Source organism: Homo sapiens, chromosome 17 (assembly GCF_000001405.40).
Source record: "Homo sapiens chromosome 17, GRCh38.p14 Primary Assembly".
Taxonomy (NCBI): domain Eukaryota; kingdom Metazoa; phylum Chordata; class Mammalia; order Primates; family Hominidae; genus Homo; species Homo sapiens.
The window spans coordinates 73373637-73392632 of NC_000017.11; the positions used below are offsets into that span (position 1 = coordinate 73373637).

General features: G+C 54.4%; 1 protein-coding gene across 4 annotated transcripts in view, besides 3 other annotated features; it reads right to left on the reverse strand.

The window, feature by feature from the left end:
* Positions 1-18996, reverse strand: part of SDK2 (sidekick cell adhesion molecule 2) — a 310062-nt gene that overhangs the window by 39253 nt on the left and 251813 nt on the right. For 2 of the 4 annotated variants that reach the window (XM_011524915.3, NM_001144952.2), the window contains exons 28-36: positions 17804-17902; positions 16651-16845; positions 14200-14401; positions 12809-12912; positions 12211-12281; positions 10240-10375; positions 7258-7314; positions 5812-5913; positions 5541-5656 (exon numbers count right to left, since the gene is read on the reverse strand). In XM_011524915.3, the coding sequence (XP_011523217.1) occupies positions 5541-5656; positions 5812-5913; positions 7258-7314; positions 10240-10375; positions 12211-12281; positions 12809-12912; positions 14200-14401; positions 16651-16845; positions 17804-17902 (1082 nt within the window). The remainder of the gene's footprint in view (positions 1-5540; positions 5657-5811; positions 5914-7257; positions 7315-10239; positions 10376-12210; positions 12282-12808; positions 12913-14199; positions 14402-16650; positions 16846-17803; positions 17903-18996) is intronic. The other 2 variants (XM_047436313.1, XM_011524914.3) reach the window with 1 other exon arrangement.
* Positions 5404-5905: an enhancer, noted in NCBI's record as "H3K4me1 hESC enhancer chr17:71375179-71375680 (GRCh37/hg19 assembly coordinates)". NCBI's record gives its function as "activates a minimal SCP1, AML or CMV promoter by ChIP-STARR-seq in naive H9 embryonic stem cells {active_cell/tissue: H9 hESC(naive)}" and the evidence as "EXISTENCE:reporter gene assay evidence [ECO:0000049][PMID:30033119]".
* Positions 6454-6955: an enhancer, noted in NCBI's record as "H3K4me1 hESC enhancer chr17:71376229-71376730 (GRCh37/hg19 assembly coordinates)". NCBI's record gives its function as "activates a minimal SCP1, AML or CMV promoter by ChIP-STARR-seq in naive H9 embryonic stem cells {active_cell/tissue: H9 hESC(naive)}" and the evidence as "EXISTENCE:reporter gene assay evidence [ECO:0000049][PMID:30033119]".
* Positions 6956-7455: an enhancer, noted in NCBI's record as "H3K4me1 hESC enhancer chr17:71376731-71377230 (GRCh37/hg19 assembly coordinates)". NCBI's record gives its function as "activates a minimal SCP1, AML or CMV promoter by ChIP-STARR-seq in naive H9 embryonic stem cells {active_cell/tissue: H9 hESC(naive)}" and the evidence as "EXISTENCE:reporter gene assay evidence [ECO:0000049][PMID:30033119]".

Here is an 18996-nt window from a genome sequence, read left to right on the forward strand (position 1 = left end):
TGTTGACCATTTATATATCTTCTTTTTTCTTTTTTTTTGAGTTGGAGTCTTGCTCTGTCACCCAGGCTAGACTGCAGTGGCATGATATGGGTTCACTGCAACCTCCACCTCCTGGGTTCAAGCGATTCTCCTGCCTCAGCCAGGTGCCTGCCGCCATGGCCAGCTAATTTTTGTATTTTTAGTAGAGACGGGGTTTCACCATGTTGGCCAGGCTGGTCTCGAACTACTGACCTCAGGTGATCTGCCTACCTTGGCTTCCCAAAGTGCTGGGATTACAGGCATGAGCCACCGTGCCCAGCCTATGTATCTTCTTTTGAGAAATGTCCATTTGGGTCCTTTGCCCCATTTTCTTTCACTTTTGTTGTATGAGTTCCTTACATATTTTGGCTACTAACCCCTGGTCATATGTATGGTTTGCAAATATTTCTCCCATTCCAGAGGTTCTCCCTCCTTCTGGAAGCATGTTCTTCCCATGAGCTCTGAGACATCACTCAGTTTTTGGTTTCAGGGCTCAATTTGTAGACTTCTTTTGTTCTTTATCTTTCCTTGTCTAATCTCTAGCTTTCAGTACCATCTATATGCCGAGGACTCTATAATTCACATCTCTGGTTTGATCCTTCTCTCTTGAACTCCAGACATGCATCTCTGACTCTGTTCTGTCTCCCCTCGAATGTCCAACAGACGTCTCAAACCAAACACATCTGGAACCAGACTCCAGATTTCCCTAGCCTCCTCCTTCACCAGCTTTGTCTTTTCCTGCTCCATCATCCTGTGGACCCTGGGGCTGTCCTTGTTGCCTCCCTTTTCTCCCATTCCATGTTCGATTTGTCGGTAATTTTTTTTTTTTTTGAGATGGGGTCTCGCTCTGTTGCCCAGGCTGGAGTACAGTGGCGTGATCTTGGTGCACTGCAACCTCTGCCTTCTGGGTTCAAGGGATTCTTTTGCCTCAGCCTCCCCAGTAGCTGGAATTACAAGCATGCGCTACCATACCCAGCTAATTTTTGTATTTTTAGTAGAGATGCGGTTTCGTCATGTTGGCCAGGCTGGTCTCGAACTCCTGACCTCAAGTGATCTGCCCGCCTTGGGCTCCCAAAGTGCTGGGATTACAGGTGTGAGCCACTGTGCCCAGCCTGATTTGTTAGCAAATTCTACCAGCTCTGCTGTTGGGACTAACTGAGAGTGGCCACTTCTCACTCTGCTCTCACCTGATCTGAGCCCCCTTCATGGCCCACCCGGATAGTTCAGATGCCTCCCCATAGCTTCTGGGCTTTCCCCATTTCAGACTCTGCTCAGCACAGCAGCCAGCGGGACCCTCTGAAGGTCCCAGTCCTCCACTCAGAGGACTTCACTCAAGAGTGACAGCCAAAGCCCCGAAGGACCCCAGGTGCTCCAGCCCCGGCTTTCCCATCTCCCATTGCGCTCCCTGGAACTCACTCTGGGGACACACAAGGCTCTCCGTATACCCCAAGTACCTGTCTACCCTGAGACCTTTGCTCTTTTTTCCTCTCTTTCTGGATCCATGTGATTTGTGCCCTGTTCTCCTTCAGGTTTTTGCTCAAATATCACCTTCTCATTAAGTCCTTTCCTAACAACCTTTTTTTTTTTTTTTTTTTTTTTTTTTTTTTGAGACAGTCTTGATCTGTTGCCCAGGCTGGAGTGCAGTGGTGCAACAATGGCTCACTGCACCCTCACTCGGCCGGGCTCAGGCACTCCTCCCACCTCCCACCCCGTTGGCTGGGACTACAGGCATGTGCCACCACACCCGGCTAATTTTGTTGTTGTTTTCTTTTTGTAGAGACAGGCTTTTACCATGTTGCCCAGGCTGGTCTTGGACTCCTGGAGTCAAGCAATCCACCCACCTCGGCCTTTCAAAGCGCCAGGATTACAGTTGTGAGCCACTGAGCCCAGCCCTTAACAACCCATTTAAAATTTCAAACCCTGGCTGGGCACAGTGGCTCACGCCTGTAATCTCAGCAATTTGGGAGACCGAGGGCGGATCACCTGGGGTCAGGAGCTCGAGACAAGCTTGGCCAACATGGTGAAACCCTGTCTCTACTAAAAATACAAAAATTAGCTGGGCATGGTGGCAGGCACCTGTAATCCCAGCTACTCAGGAGGCTGAGGTGGGAGAATCACTTGAACCTGGGAGGCAGAGGTTGCAGTGAGCCAAGATCGCACCACTGCACTTCAGCCTGGGTGACAGAACAAGACTCCATCTCAGGAAAAAAAAGAAAGAAAGAAATAAAATAAACTAAACTAAAATAAAATAAAATTTCAGGCTGGATGCGCTGGCTCACTCCTGTAATCCCAGCACTTTGGGAGGCCGAGGTGGGTGGATCACGAAGTCAAGAGATTGAGACCATCCTGGCCAACATGGTGAAACCCCGTCTCTACTAAAAACACAAAAATTAGCTGGGCATGGTGGCAGGCACCTGTAATCCCAGCTACTTGGGAGGCGGAGGAAGGAGAATCGCTTGAACCTGGGAGGTGGGGGTTGCAGTGAGCTGAGATTGCACCACTGCACTTCAGCCTGGCGGCAGAGCAAGACTCCGTGTCAAAAAAAAAAAAAAAAATTCAAACCTCCTCATGGACCTGGCTCTCCCCTAACCTGCTTCATTTACCACCACCTGGCGGTATTATTTATTTTGCCCCGTGTTGGCCTTCCCTCCCTAACATCTAAGCTCACAATGCTGGGCACACAATAACTGCTCAATAAACACGTGTCATTGACCAACTGAAAGACTGGAGCTCTCAGAACGTGCATGAATGTGCCTGCCACGCACCAGTTGGGTGCAGTCTGACTGGAATGCAGTATCAGCTTCGGTGTGCTCATGGGTTGATGAAGTTAATGCGTCACTGATGTTCGTGCGTGTTGATGTCAGTACCTTGGTTATCACAGGTCCAGGAGGTAGCACTTTCTCCGTTCACATCCACAGTTGCCGCTCAGGTACGGGTCATGTTTTCTGGAGCATGTAGGCCTCTGCTGTATTCTGTATGGTGTTGTGCACCTGCACATTTTCCTGGGTCTGTCTATTAACTCACCACTTACAAGCCTCGACAGTCTGGTGGCTGCCACACTGCTGCTGGCGCTGCCCTGGCCCCTTTCTTTTCCCATGGGAGGCATATGCTAGGGGGGCAATATTTAGTTTTCCCAGCTGGTGCTCCTGGGCAATGCCTTGAGGGGTGTCATCCATCTTTAGGGCTTCCTTGGCAACATGCCTTTCCTCCTTCCTTCCTCCTCCTTCACCCCAGATGGAATGAGACTCTTATGCTGGATTCCATCCTAAATCGGGACTACCTGTATTAATGAGCTGTGTGACTTGGGTAAGCTCTTCCCCTTTGCTGACACTCCTCCCACCTGTGGGATGAGGTGCCTTGTGTCTCTCCTACTCCCCACCTGTGGGATGAGGTGCCTTGCGTCTCTCCTACTCCCCACTTAAGCCATGGCACTGGGGCTCTTCTCTGGAGTAACAACCAGCCGCCAAGAATGAGAGTCAACTGGACACTGGTGCGGGAGGCAGACACAGCTAAGGGTTATGTGTTCCAGCTCTTCCAACCAGACAGACACATTCCTTTTTTTTTTTTCTTTTTTTTTTTTTGGAGACAGAGTCTTGCTCTGTTGTCCAGGCTGGAGTGCAGTGACACGGTCTTGGCTCACTGCAACCTCTGTCTCCTGGGTTCAAACGATTCTCCTGCCTCAGCCTCCCAAATAGCTGGGATTACAGGCACCCGCCACCACGCCTGGATAATTTTTGTATTTTTAGTAGAGATGGGGTTTCACCATGTTGGTCAGGCTGGTCTCGATCTCCTGACCTCAGGTGATCCATCTGCCTCGGCCTCCCAAAGTGCTGGGATTACATGTGTAGGCCACCACACCTGGCCCATGTTCCTTTTTAAATCTACTTCCCCTAGTGCTCATGTGGTTGGTTAGTGCTTACTTTTCACCCCTCGGGGGGTGAGAGCTGCCAGACTTGGAATCTGACTCTGCTGCCTGCTTTTTTTTTTTTTTTGAGACCTCTTGGCTGGAGTGCAATGGTGCAATCTCGGCTCACTGCAACCTCCCTCTCCCAAGTTCAAGTGATTCTCCTGCCTCAGCCTCCCGAGTAGCTGGGATTACAGGCATGCGCCACCACACCCGGCTAATTTTGTATTTTTAGTAGAGATGGGGTTTCACCATGTTGGTCAGGCTGGTCTCGAACTCCCGACCTCAGGTGATCTGCCCGCCTTGGCCTCCCAAAGTGTTGGGATTACAGGTGTGAGCCACCGCACCCGGCCTGCCTGCTGTTTTTGTGATCTTACCAGGTCAACTAAATTGGAACTCAGTTTCCTCATTTGGGCATAAAAACCCATATCCTCCCAGCTTCGTGGGCCTTTCATGAAGATTCAAGAGTTCCAAAGGGCTTTGTGAATATTAGGGAGAAATTGAATCCCCTTATAGCACAGGACATCATCCTAAATCTAGAAATGATTTTTTTCTTTTTTGAGACAGTGTCTTGCTCTGTTACCTGGCTGGAGTGCAATGGCTCCACATGGCCTACTGCAAACTCTGCCCCCCTGGCTCAAGCAATCCTCCCACCTCAGCCTCCCAAGTAGCTGGGACTATAGGCGCATGCCACCACACCTGGCTAATTTCTGTATTTTTTTTTGTAGAGTCAGGTTCTCACTATGTTGCCCAGGCTGTTCTGTAACTCCTGAGCTCAAGTGATCCGCCCACCTTGGCCTCCTAAAGTGCGGGAATTACAGGTGTGAGCCACCACACACAGCCCTAGAAATGATTTTTAATTTTAATTTTTTTTTTTTTGAGACAGAGTCTCACTCTATTGCTCAGGCTGGAGTGCAGTGGTACAATCTCGGCTCACTGCAACCTCTGCCTCCTGGGTTCAAGCGATTCTCCTGCCTCAGCCTCTCGAATAGCTGGGATTACCGGTGCCTGCCACCATGCCCGGCTAATTTTTGTATTTTTAGTAGAGATGGGGTTTCACCATGTTGGCCAGGCTGGTCTCGAACTCCTGACCTCAGGTGATCTGCCCGCCTCGGCCTCCCAAAGCGCTGGGATTAAAGGTGTGAGCCACCGCGCCCAGCCTAGAAATGATTTTTAAACAGAGATTTCCAAATACTAGGCAGTGATGCTTTGCTAACTGGCTATCTGATTAATATCAATATTGTAATTATGGGGCCAAAAGCCCCTTGGAGGGTCTTAAGTTATGTATGGGGTTGGGGGCTGGTGGGGAGGGATGTGTGTGCTGCTCAGAGATGGTACGAGCCTAGGGATGGCTAGAGTTTCTTGCACCTAAGCTCAGCCTGCCCTCAGGAAGCTGGAGGGGATGGATGTGGTTCAGCTTCAGCTGTACAAATATTTCTGCGAACTGGGTCCAAACAGCCAAGGTGGCAGGTGTACCACAGAGCCTGAAGGGCCGAGGAGCTGGCTGGATGAATGGAGGGCCTGGGGACCTGCCTGCCTCCCACATATCACTCACTCCCCAGCCTCCGACCTGGCTTCTCATCCGTGCACCCCTTTGCTCTGCCCGAGGGCACCCTACCTTGTACCCCTGGATGTCTCCATTCTGGCTGTCCAGCGGAGGTGGCTCCCAAGTCACGTCCAGCTGTGTGGCCGTGGCGCCGTGGACGACCACGTTACGAGGTGCTGCTGTGGGCACTGGAGGGCGTGCAGGGTAGGCAGTGAGCATGCGAGTAAACCTGGGAGGGGAGGTGGGCTGGGCGGGATGGGGAGCCCAGATCCCGTTTCTTCCAGCTGAACTGGGTGGGGCTGGGAAAGGCATGCTGGGGCCGGACAGGGCGGGCGCTGCTCACCTGCCTCCCCAACAAAGACCTCCTGCGGGGGGCTGGAGGGCCCCTCACCCACAGCGTTGTACACGCTCATCCGTATCTCGTACCGCCTGTGCTTGTTCAGGTCTGTGGGGGAGAGTGGGGGAGGGGAAGCACACTGAGGTCACCGTCATTGCTGGGAAGGTGTCCCCAGGGAGGGTGGAGGCTGCAGGGGGAGGAATGAGGCACCCCCGCCATTCTAGCCCCCTCTGTGAAGGTGCATGAAGGAGGAGGTGAGAGGCGGGGCCCCCAGGGGACGCTCTGTGCCAATCTGGACATAGGGCAATGCTGGTTGGCCTCTTGGCCTAGGGTGGCCGTACATTTTATTGTTCAACTGGACACTTTTGAGACTGAAACCACTATGAATATTTACACCGGGACAACCAGTGTAAACCAAAGCTGTCCTGGGCATGCCTGGACATAGGGTCACCCCCTACCCCCAGCCTGTCCTCTTTCCCCACCGTGACAGATGCCCAGAGTCCCCATCCACCAACTCTTTACACAGCGGGGCTCAGCTCCAGGGGGGAGGGGCGCATTGGATGTGAATTCTGGACTAAGAAACCTGATGTTTCTGCCAAGTTTGAGGTGCTTGGCTGAGAATGCCTGGCAGAACTTGGGAATGGGACGCAGCTGCAAGAAACGGGCGCAGTCACTGTCCCCCGTAGCTGAAAGTTTCTCCCACCCTCTCCACTCTTCTCTCTGGGTTCCCTGCCCCTGCTTCCTTCCCCTGGGTAGGTCTACCCTTTAACAGGGTTGTGAGAGGGGTGTCACCCTTGCCTAGCTGTCTATGCAGCCTGGGTTGGTCATTGGTTGACGGAGGAAGGAGGAAGAGAATTTAGCCTTAAACTAGTGCTATTTTCTCCTGAGCACGAAACCCTCTTGCCTAAGGCCCTGGGTTTCAGGAAGAACCACGGCTGATGCTTTAGAGAAAGATCAAGGGTTGGGGCATGCAAGCAGCAGGAACATGTCTGGTGCACGGGAGGACGACGGACGCAGGTGACTAAAACTGCTGTCACCTCCCTCCAGGTGTGGGGCCAGACTGTAAGACCCAGCTGGGCCGAGAAGTGCCTTCGATGGGACTAGATGGGGCAGCAACCACGTGGACACCTGCCCACCTACCCAGCAGCGTCCAACAGCTTCTGCTGCGGCCCCGCTGTCACTGTCCCCCGACCCAGCCGAGCACAGGGTTACAGACTTCCCTTTTCCAGCCCACACCCAACAGAGGGCAGGCTTGAAGGAGACTTTCCCTGTCATCGGCCTACTTTTCCGTGTGTTTAGGGTTATCACTTGTGTTCAGGGTAGTCCCGTTTCTTAAGCCCCCTGGGGTGGGCACACCCCCTCAACCTGTGATCAGGTCTCTCAAGGAGGCCCCACTCCCAATCCCCTGCGAGGCCTGGGCCCGCGATGAAGCCACCATGCAAGGAGACTTACTGTCCAGCTCGTACTGCGTGAGGCTGGGCCGGCTCAGGTTCCGCATGGAGTACATGGCTATGGGGTGGGGGTGCCGGGGCGGGGGCGCAGAGGGAGACAGCAGACAGAGGAGGTTAGTGCTCACACATCCCCACCCCACAAAGAAACCCCGGCCAGGCGGGGCTGACGGCGTGAACAGACAGGAAGAGTGTTTCCAAATTTCCAATGCTGAGTTACGGGCCAGGATAACAGGGTTGTGGGGGCAGGGGAAGGTGGAGGCTCCCTGGACAGTCTGCCCCACCCTGGTGTGCACTGGCCCAAGGTGATGTGAGCTCTTTGTAGCCCAGCATCTCTAGGGACATCTCTGGGGGACCCTCTCACCCCAATTCTCTTCCTTGTTTCAGGGCAGAGCTCCTGGAAACCAGCATGAAATACTGGAGTCGTTAATTTCCTCATATGAACCAGAAACAATTTTACTACTAGGAAATATGACTGTATTATACACAGGCAATATAAAATCACAACCACAAGCACATATGGGCAAAAAAAAAAAGAAGGAAAAAAAGTCCACCAAAAACGCAAGCTGTTGGATCAGCTACTTCAGAGTTTTTCTATTAATATTCCTTTGCTACATGCTCATCATTTTGTTGTCTGCTAACTCACTAGAAGACAAGGCACAAAAGGCTTGAGAGAACTAAGGGAGGAAACGTGAAAATGAAGAGGCTGGGCCGGGCGCAGTGGCTCATGCCTGTAATCTCAGCACTTTGGGAAGCCAAGGTGGGTGGATCACCTGAGGTCAGGAGTTCGAGACCACCTGAGGTCAGGAGTTCGAGACGAGCCTGGCCAACACAGTGAAACCCGGTCTCTACTAAAAACACAAAAATTAGCTGGGCATAGTGGTGCACGCCTGTAGGTCCAGCTACTTGGGAGGCTGGGGCAGGAGAATCGCTTGAACCTGGGCAGCAGAGCTGAGATCATGCCACTGTACTCTAGCCTGGGTGACAGAGCAAGACTCTGTCTCAAAAAACAAAAAACAAAAAAACAAAAAACAAAAAACAAAAGCCGGGCGCAGTGACTCATGCCTGTAATCCCAGCACTTCGGAAGGCCGAGGCAGGTGGATCACCTGAGGTCAGGAGTTCGAGACCAGCCTGGCTAACATGGTGAAACCCCGTTTCTACTAAAATTACAAAAAATTAGCTGGGCGTGGTAGTGTGCGCCGTTAATCCCAGCTACTCAGGAGGCCTCAGGCAGGAGAATCGCTTGAACCTGGGAGGCGGAGGTTGCAGTGAGCTAAGATGGTGCCATTGCACTCCAGCTTAGGCAACAAGAGTGAAAACTCCATTTCAAAAAAAAAAAAAAAAAGAAGAGGCTCTTAAACTGACCCCTCTCCTGCTAGTCTGTTTGGGTGAGTGTCCCACACCCACCTGAGTACCCAGTCCTCTGGGGTACCCCTGCCTGCTGCCGTCTTCTACTACGAATCAGTCATGGAGTCCCAGGTGGGTGGATAGAGGATATTTAGGGAAGGAGGCTCTTTATAAAAATCTCTAGTGGTCTGAGTCCAAATCTTAGGTGAACGCAAGCACTTCAGACCCAAACAAGCCAAAGGTGTAGATGAACATCAGTTTTGAGCCACTGGGAAAACCTCAGTTTTTTCTTTCGTTATGTACCAAGGTGTTCTAATTATCGTTGCTACCTGCTGTGCTGTAACGTGTTTTATCGGTTGCACCACTTTGCAGCATTTTCTCCAAAGCCCTTAACTGTCGTAAATGCACCTAACTGTCCGCCAATGCGGAATACTAAATAATTATGATGCGAGTGGCTGATTTACTTTGAAAAATCAAAAACAGGCCAGGTACAGTGGCTCGCGCCTGTAATCCCAGCACTCTGGGAGGCCAAAGCGGGCAGGCCACTTAAGGTCAGGAGTTCAAGAGCAGCCTGGCCGACATGGTGAAACCCCGTCTCTACTAACAACAACAACAACAACGACAACAACAACAACGACAACATTAGCTGGGCGTGGTGGCACACGCCTGGAGTCCTAGCTACTTGGGAGGCTGAGACACAAGAGTCACTTGAACCCAGGAAGCGGAGGTTGCAGTGAGCTGAGATGGCACCATTACACTCCAGCCTGGGCAACAGAGCGAGACTCTGTCTAAAAAAACCCAAAAAACAAAAAAACCTCAAGTCCTGGAGCATCTGCGCCCATCACATATCATCTCCCATACTGGCCTCGGTCCACCCCGAGTCTGTGCCTCGGTTCCAACCTCCTGCTCTCTTGCCACGTGACTGCAACAGCCTCTATCTGGGCGCCTGCCTCTGGCTCTCCATCCTCCCACCATGGCCAAGCCATCATCCTCATGCCACCAAAGTGGCTCCTAACACAAAAGTCCAAACACGTCTTTCCCTTGCCGTGGTCTTCTGGGCATCGGCTCTCCCTGACATTTCCACCTGGGCTCCCCTCTTTCCTTCCTTTGCTCCAGGGGACAGGCAGGGCAGTGGCTTCCCCCAGGAAAAAGAGGGGGCCAGGACTACTGCTCTAGGGGTGTGACCAGGTGAGGCTTCTGGTCCCTCAAGGGCAGGGTGCTCCTTCTCATGCACCGGGCTGTCCCCGTCCCTTTGTCCTGGTTAACTTGGCATCATCCTTCCGTGTTAGCGCCAGTGCTGGTGCCGGGGAAGCCTTGCCTGTCCCTGGCTTTAGGTCCTCCTAGAATGTTTCCTTCCCAGCTCGCCTGGCTCCTCCTCCAGCCTGCAACTCCAAGAGGGCAGGGACCCTGTCTGTCTTGATCATTGGTGTGCCCCACAGTGACTCGGGGCCCATAGAAGGTGCTCAGTAAATATTCAGTAAATGAATGAATGGGATGGGAGGAGGGAGAGGCACACATGGAGGAGGGAGGCAAGGTTTCAGGTTAGAGTGGTTCCAGGAAGCTGAGAGCTCCAGAGCGGGAAGGTGAGGGTGACCGCCCCCATCCCACCCATTCCTCTGGCTCCCAAGTGTCACTCACAGGTAAGCTCAGCCCATGTGGCCCCTGGGTTGTTGATGCCTCGAAGCGTGAAGCCCCTCAGTCCTTCATAGAGCAGCTCCCGGTATCGGATCCGGAAGCCCAGGAGGATGCCATTGATCTTGTCCTCTGCTGGCGGCTGCAGGAAGGGAGTAGGGCATGGGGAGGGCACCTGGACCACCACCCACCCCTCCCCACGCTCTCTCATCATGCCTCCTGCAGCCACAGAGCAGGGACTATGTTTTAACCAGGAAAAGAAATCAAGATAATATTGGGCATTTTAAATTTACAAAGCACTTCTGATGAGGCCATTTCATCCCTGCAGCATTCCCTAGAAGGAGGGAAGGGCAGGAATCAGTAATCGCCTTTTATCCAAGCAGGAAACTGAGGCTCAGAGATGTTAAGGAACTTGCCCAAGATCACAGAGCATCATTGGGGCCTGGAGCACACAGCTGTTTTCCTAGAGCCGCTCCTTGTTCACCTCCTTTGTCTTCAAGAGCTGCCCTCACCTGATCACCAGCCTCCCCAGGCCTGCTGGTCCCTGCCTTAGCATCTGGATAACACTTCCTGGTGTTTCCTGCAAGCTGAGCCCTCTCCTACTCTTAGTACATGCAAGGGTGAGTGTGCCCCTCACCCCTTCATCAAGTTCTCCTTTGCTTCCTCTCCCGTCTACAGCTTAGCTGCAGAACCGGCTTCGGGAGAAGGTGGAAACTACTTCTTAATGATACTGCTTATGAAGAATGGTCTGACCAGCCTGGCCAACATGGCGAAACCCCGTCTCTACTAAAAATATAAAAATTAGCTGGGTGTGGTGGCATGTGCCTGTAGTCTTGCTTGGAAGGCTGAGGAAAGAGAATCGTGTGAAGCTGGGAGGCGGAGGTTGCAGTGAGCCAAGATTGAACCACTGTACTCCAGCCTGGGCAACAGCGCAAGACTGTGTCTCAAAACAAAACAAAACAAAAACCCCAAAAAACCAAAAACCTGCTGAAACAGCTCAGGCTTTGTTAGCTCCTTAATGGTTTCCCCGGCTGCCATGGGCACCTCCCTGCCCCCTCCCTCTGCCACGTTGCTCCAGCCTCGTCCCGGTCACAGGTGCACTAAGTCATGTTTATCTACGGGAGCGTCCTCTCCTTGAGCTGTGTGTCTCAGGCTGGGGGGACCCTCCTGGCTTTGTCTTCAAGGGCTTTCCCTTTGTGGAGTGGCAGATGGCTGAAGGGGAGTGCCTGCCCCTTTGATCTGGAGAAGTGGTGATGGGAGTTCAGTGCTTTTAACTTTTAGTAGAGATGGGGTTTTGCCAGGGGTCCCTCTCATGTGGGTGACCTGCTGAGGCAAGGCTGAACTTCAGAGGGCACAGGAGGGCTCCGCGGGGCAGGACCCATGAGCAGCCTGGTCGCTGAGGTTTGCCCATGGTCTTCCCCAGGCCATGGCAGAGCAGGCAGTGCCCACTGAAGAGTGGGCATCTGGAAGGGGTATGGACGAAGGGGGGCATTTCTCTCTACTTGCACAGTGATGATGACGGGCATAGGTCTCTGCAAGGAATCCCTTCACCGACCAGTGGGGCTTCATGGAGACTCTGGGGGCCCTGAGAGCCACAAGCACTTTTCAGCCCAAGGACTCAGCAGGCCTAAGGCTAATACACCTGGCCCTGCCACTCACTGGCTATGTGACCTGGGGCCATTCGGGTCCCCTCCCTGAGTCTCAGTGGTTGTCTGCAGAAGAGGATGACAGCACCTGCCTGATGTGACTATCTAGAGAGTGTAATGAGGCGTGTTATGGGAGTGTGTATGTGTGGGCACACGGTGTATAGAATGTTCTGTGACATGCACATGCCTGGATTTCTCATGGCTTCCCAGGCGCTCTGGGGGCAGAGAACTTGGGGGCTCCACGCAGCCCTGGTGGGGACTGCTGGCTTTCCAGTCCCAGAGCAGAGCTCGTCTGGGTCTTCACGGAGGTTTCCTGCCCGCTGGGCCATACCTGCCATCGGATTAGCACGGAGGTGGTGGTGTGGGGCGTCACGGAGAGGATGGTGGGTGCTTCATCGGGGGCTGTGGAGAGAAGCAGACAGGTGGGTTCTGGGGGCCGCAGCTTCAAGTTCCCCAGGAGCCCACTGAGACCAGATTCTGCTAATACTGGACTGCGGGGCAGGTCCAGATCGCATCGCCCTCCATGCCTGCTGGCCCGATTTCTGCAGAACAAAGGGCTGGTGTAAAGGGGAGGGAGGGAGGGACTGTGAGCTGACTCAGCCCAAACCCAAGGGTCCCAGAGCCCCCTCCGCTCTGCTCCTCAGAGCCATAGACCACTTCTGCTGCTGCTGAGAACTCCTGTCCCGCTCACTGGCAGCTTGTGGGACAGGAGGAATACGCCACAGGCCAGGCTGGGCCTGGGACCCTGAGCCCTTGGCAAAAGTGTCTCTGGCCCAAACCTCCCTGAGACCCTACCCCGGGAGCTGAAGGGCCCAGTGGGTCCCACGCCTCTCTCATCTTTGGAGGCCCCTCCCCCCGTAAGAAAATGCCCCATGCCCAGGAAGCAGCCAGTGGGCTGAGAGAGAGACTGCTGGGGAAGGGGTACTGACCAGCCTGCAGGGTGGTCAGTGACTCCGACTCCTCGCTGAACTCGCTGTCGCCAATGTCATTGGTCGCCTTCACTCGGAACTTGTAGGACGTGAAGGGCTTCAGCCTGTAGGGAGAAATCAGGGCCAATGAGCCAAGGTGCTCCTTAAAGGCCTCGCCCCATGCTCCCACCAAGGAGTCTCCCTGATCTGGCCCTGCTCGGGAAAGGGGGCAGGGTGCCAGCCTACTACACAGAAGGGCACACTGAGGCTCAGAAAGGAGCTTTGCTGCAAAGAGGACAAACTGGGACCCGGCCCCAGGGGTCCCAAGCACCTAGACCAGGTCCTCCAGACCATGCCAGCTTGGGGTGCCTTTAGCCCCAGTTGTAAGCCATAGCATCCCGAGAAGGAAATGTCTGCAGCTTCCCCACTTCGCAGAACCATGCAGTCACAAAAGCACCAATACCTCCACTCGGAACAAACTCCTCCCCTGCCCCCAACAAACTGCCATCTCTTTCTTTTTTTTTGTTTGAGATGGAGTCTTTTTTTGTTGTTGTTGAGACAGAGTCTCACTCTGTTGCCCAGGCTGGAGTGCAGTGGTGCGATCTTGGCTCACTGCAACCTCCGCCTCCCGCGTTCAAGCGATTCTTGTGCCTCAGCCTCCTGAATAGCTGGGATTACAGGCATGTGCTACCACACCTGGCTAATTTTTGTATTTTAGTAGAGACAGGTTTTCACCATGTTGGCCAGACTGGTTTCAAACTCCTGACCTCAAGTGATCCTCCCGCCTCGGCCTCCCAAAGTGCTGGGATTCCGGGCGTAAGCCACCGCTCCTGGCCTCTCTTTTTTAAATGTAGTAAATTAGGGAGGAGCTGAGGTTCTCAAGAGTTAAGCAGTACTTCATCTCTATAAGCCTTATTTCCTCTGGGAGCAAACGTCTCTCTTTTAGATTTATGGGGGGTGGGAGAGGTGGGGAAGAAAGTATTGCTCAAAACTCCCGGTCACATCAACTGGAATATAAAAAATTCAACCCACTCGGAATTAAATTGAAGCTAGAATTTCGGAGTGACGCTCCACTCCCCTATTAAAGCTGGAGAGGAAGATACCGCCCGGCTGGAAGAATCACTAATGAAGGATGACAGGCACTTCACTAAAGGGGGACTTCTAGGCTCCAGAAATAGATAATTAAGAGGCAACCTAACAGAGTTCCAGAGGGAACAGAGTGAGGAAGAGCAGGATAGAGCTGATTTGCGAGGGTGAGAGTGGACGCGGGGGCCGCCTGGGTGGTGCATGTAGGAGGAGAGCTGGGGGCAGGCTGGAGGTGTTTTCAGAAGGCCCCCTACCCAGTGGAGGAGCACCGCTGGTCCCGGCGGGGAGAGGGGCAGTGGGGATGCTGGCATGGACCCGAGCCTTACCTGTCCACAATGAAGCTGGAGGCATTGTGGCTCACGGAGGCCGAGTGCAGTGCCCACCTGCCGCTGGGCAGCTCGCGGGTCTGGATGGTGTAGTAGCGCACAGGGGAGAGCCCGTCGCTCCCTGGCTCCCAGGACAGCAGCACGCTGCGTGCTCTCACATCCTCCTGCTGCACCATCGGCCTGCTGGGGGGCTGCGGACGGTCTGGGAGGTGGCAGAGGGGGAGGAGCAGGTGAGTGGGCCAGGCCATGGTGGAGGGGGCTGGACTTTCTCGAGGGAGGAAAGGAGGTGATCTGGGCTCAGGCCTGGCATCCCCTTCCCATCCCAATTCCATGCACGCAGGATCCTTGCAGGTTCTCACACCTGGGTACAGCCAGCACCCCTCTCCTGGTTAGAGGCCCACCCTCAGGCTCCTAGAGCCCCAGGGCCTGGGAACTTACAGCTCCTCAGGGCAGCCCTAAGCAAGGATTGACGGTGAGGAGTGACAAACACCCACCCAGCTCCTTTGCTCCTGCCTGAAACGAGGCTGAGCCGGGCCCTGCGCTGTCCCTGATTGAGCAGGATGAGGTTGTTTCCCTACGAGAAGCGCTGCTTCATTCCAGGCCCTAGCTTGGCTTCCTTCTCTCCCCAGCCTCGCTGCCCCGCCCCTTCTGCAGGGCTTCTCAAACCTCAGCAGTACTGGAATTCAGAACAGATGACTCTGTGGCGGGGGCATCCTATGCAATGCAGGATGCTCAGCAGTGTCCCTGGCCTCCACCCACTTGATGCCAGTAGCACTCCCACACTGTGACAACCAAAATGTCTCCAGACATGTCCAATGTCCCCTGTGGCCAAAGAAGTCCCCAGTTGAGAAGCACTGTACTAATGGTTTTTCCTGAGTACATTTTCTTCTTCCTTCCCTCCCTTCCTTCCCTCCCTCCTTCCTTCCTTCCCTCCCTCTCCTTCCTTCCTTCCTTCCCTCCCTCCTTCCTTCCTTCCCTCCCTCTCCTTCCTTCCTTCCTTCCCCCCTCCTTTCCTTTTCTTTCTCCCTCTCTTTTCTCCCTCCTTCTCTTCCTTCTCCCTCCCTCCCTCCCTCCCTCCCTTTTTCCCCCCTTCCCTCCCCTCCCTTTCCCTTCCCCCTCCCCTCCCCTCTCCTCCCTTCCCTTCCCCTTCCCCTTCCCCTCCTTCCTTTTTCTTTCGTTATTTAAAACACAGTCAGGGTCTGTATCTGTTTCCCAGGCTGGAGTGCAGTGGCACGATCATAGCTCACTACAGCCTCAAACTCCTTGATTCAAGCAATCCTTCTACCTCGGCCTCTTGAATGGCTGGGACTACAGATGTACACCACCACACCTGGCTGATATTCCTTTCTTTTTTTTTTTTTTTTTTTTGAGACGGTCTTGCTCTGTAGCCCAGGCTGGAGTGCAGTGGTGTGATCTCAGCTCACTGTGACCTCCGCCTCGCAGGTTCAAGCGATTCTTTTGCCTCAGCCTTCCAAGTAGCTGGGGTTACTGACATGTGCCACCATGCCCAGCTAATTTTTGTATTTTTAGTAGGGACGAGGTTTCACCACGTTGGCCAGGACGGCCTTGAACTCCCGACCTCAGGTGATCCACCTGCCTCGGCCTCCCAAAGTGCTAGGATTACAGGTGTGAGCCACCATGCCCGGCCTATAGCTAATATTTCTATGTTCTGTAGAGATGGTGTCTCACTATGTGGCCCAGGTTGAGAGTAGTTTCTAATATATCCCTATCAGGCCAGTCGGGGTCCCAGGCTTGCTTTTGGGGAGTCCAAGATCAGGCAAGGTGCCAGCTCAGGGCAGCAGTGCAGTGGCAGCCGGGGCTCCAGGCTGCAGCCCTGATCCTGCGCCCATCTGTGTTGACAAGGCCAGGGCTGTGAGTGGGGAGGGGAGAGGGAAGATGGTCACTAACCCTCCCTTAATTAATTAATTAATTTAGACAGAGTCTTGTTCTGTCACCCAGGCTGGAGTGCAGTGGTGCGATCTTGGCTCACTGCAACCTCCGTCCCCCAGGTTCAAGTGATTCTCGTGTCTCAGCTTCCTGAGTAGCTGGGATTACAGGTGTGTGCCACCACGCTGGCTAATTTTTGTATTTTTAGTAGAGACGGGGTTTCACCATGTTGGCTAGGCTGGTCTCAAACTCCTGACCTCAAGTGATCCACCCGCCTTGGCCTCCCAAAGTGCTGGGATTACAGGCGTGAGCCACTAAGCCTGGCCACAAACTTTCCCTTTAGAAGACCAGACCAGAGTAGGGTCCTTGGGTGTGAACTTGCGGCTCATCTCTGGGAGTCTATTAGACCCCTTGCTGACTTTGACTTCAGAGATTGGAGCCCACCTTCCATTCTCATCCAGGGCACTGCAGCTCATACCAGCCATCCACTAGGAACAGCTCAGAGCACTGGCTGGCCCCCCCTCAGCTGCCCCCAAGCCTTCCCTGGCCCCCGTGGGCAGTCACCTCTCTTCTCGGTGGTCACCACCAAGGCCTCGGCAGCTTCTCCCCAGCCCTTGCGGGTCTGGGCCGTGATGCGGAACAGGTAGACAGACTCTGGCTTGAGGCCCGTGGCTGTGTACTGCCGGGCGCTGGGTGCCAGCACCTCCACAGTGGCGGTGTTGGCCGTGGTGGTGTTGAGCCGGTGTGTGATCTGGTAAGCTGTGGGAAGGAAGCACATGGCTATTATGGCAAGCAAGGCAAGCCGCTCCTAGGGCCCCGGGAAGGGTTGTTCCGTCCAAAGCCACAGCTGTGTCTGTACATGGCCACCTTGCCGTGGTCCCTTTGGCTGTGGTCTGTCTGCCTGAGGTCTCTGGGTCACTCTCCAGTCTTCAGCTGCCACCTGGGGAGGGTGGACTGTGGGTGGCATGGAGAGGCACTCTATGCACAGTGTCTGTGACCCCCGTAACAGCCCCAAGTGAAGAAACTGAGGCCCGGAGAGGCCAGACCACCTGCTGGTAAGTGACAGAGCTGGAATCCCAGCCCAGGTCTTTCTGGGCTAATGCACTTGTCCTTCCTGCCCCCACTCTGTCTTGGGGATGTGGCATTGCTCTAGGGCAGGTGGTGCGTGAGGTCAGGACTGAGAACCCTGGGACAGGTACAGGTAGTCCAAGCCCCCATTTTAAAGGTGAGGGCACTGAGGCCGCAGAGGGGAGTAGACTTGCTCAAGTTCACGCAGCTGCCGACCGGAACCCTGGGTGTGTGTATTGGGGGAACTCTAAATGTGAGATGAAGCTTCCCATCTGTAGCCTCCCTCCTGTGCGCCTTGAGACTCTTTTCCAGCTGTGCTGAGCCTGCCAGCGTGCCCTCACTTGGCCATGCTAAGGAACAGCGTCCGAGGTTTACCAGATGGCCGGCAGGCTGGGGGCCTGGGGACATTTGGGGACGCAAAGCCAACCCATGACTCTTAAGGGACTTCAACTCTGATCTTGCCCTCCGGAAGATAATCTTACACACTGGAATTTCTAGCAGGAGGACTAACACCCAGATCCCATTCTAGAGGGGATGTGGAGGCTCCCTGGACCTACTCTCCCTCAAGCTGGTAACGAAGTGGCCTCCTTTGCAGCTCATGCCTCTTCCTTCTTCCTGCAGCCGGGGCACGGGAAGGGCAAAGGCTTACCAAGAATGATGCCATTGGGGGCGGCAGGGGGCTGCCAGATCAGCCGCACAGACGTGGTCCGCACCTCTGGGAACAGGATGCCCATGGGTGGTCCTGGGACTGGAGGGGGCAAAGGAGAGGAGGCCGACCCATGAGGCTGCCGCTCAGCTGGGGATGAGCCCAGCTCGGGCAGAGCAGCCTGGCAGGGTGGAGGGGGAAGGGGCCGCCCAGCTCAGTGAATTTCTGTGGAGTACTGCCCTGTGCCTGACACTGTGTTAGGAGCCAGGGGCAAGAACGTGGAACCAAGGGGGCTTTCTGCCCTCAAAATAGGCATCATTTGGCAGCGACCTGAGGCTCCAGCTTCCTCTGCTCATTGTCTGTATACACGCCCCAGAACCGGGCTGCCCTCAGAGCTGGGCGCGTGGGCCCTGGATGGATGCGTCAGTGCTTCAGAAGGTCCTGTTCTGACTTCCTTCCACCCATGGGGTGAAGTGGCCGTGGGGTAATGGGAAATGCCCACCCCCAGCCTGCACCACTCCTCTCTCTCTCTAGACCTTGCTCTGGAATCCTGGGACCCCGGAATTCCCTGCCCAGAGAGGCCTAAGCACGCTTCCAGAGGCTGCATGGGCCTCGTCCCCACATCCACCCTCCTGAGGGTAGGCTATGCACCCCTGGCTCCAGGGAAGGCCAAGCGGTAGCTATTTTGCAGGTGTGGAGATGAAGATTGAATGGAGTGGGTCAAAGGACAGGGTGAGGAGAGAATGGGGCAGGGGGTGGGGGAGGGTAGCTGGGGAGGGGCACTCTTCTGTGTTGCCGCACTGCAGAACAGAATAAGATGTCTGAGATTTCCAAACTTTTTTTTTTTTTTTAATACCGAGTCTCGCTCTGTTGCCCAGGCTGGAGTGCAGTGGCGTAATCTCAGCTCACTGCAAGCTCCGCCTCCCGGGTTCAAGCGATTCTCCTGCCTCAGCCTCCCAGTAGCTGAGACTACAGGCGTGTGCCACCACACCCGGCTAATTTTTATATTTTTGGTAGAGACAGGGTTTTACCATGTTGGCCAGGCTGGTCTTGAACTCCTGACCTCAAGTGGTCTGCCTGCCTTGGCTGCCTAAAGTGCTAGGATTACAGGCGTGAGCCACCACGCCCAGCCTGAGATTTCTAAACTTGAACCTGGCCTTCCAGATCGTTGTAAGGGTATATCTGTCAAGGCAGGA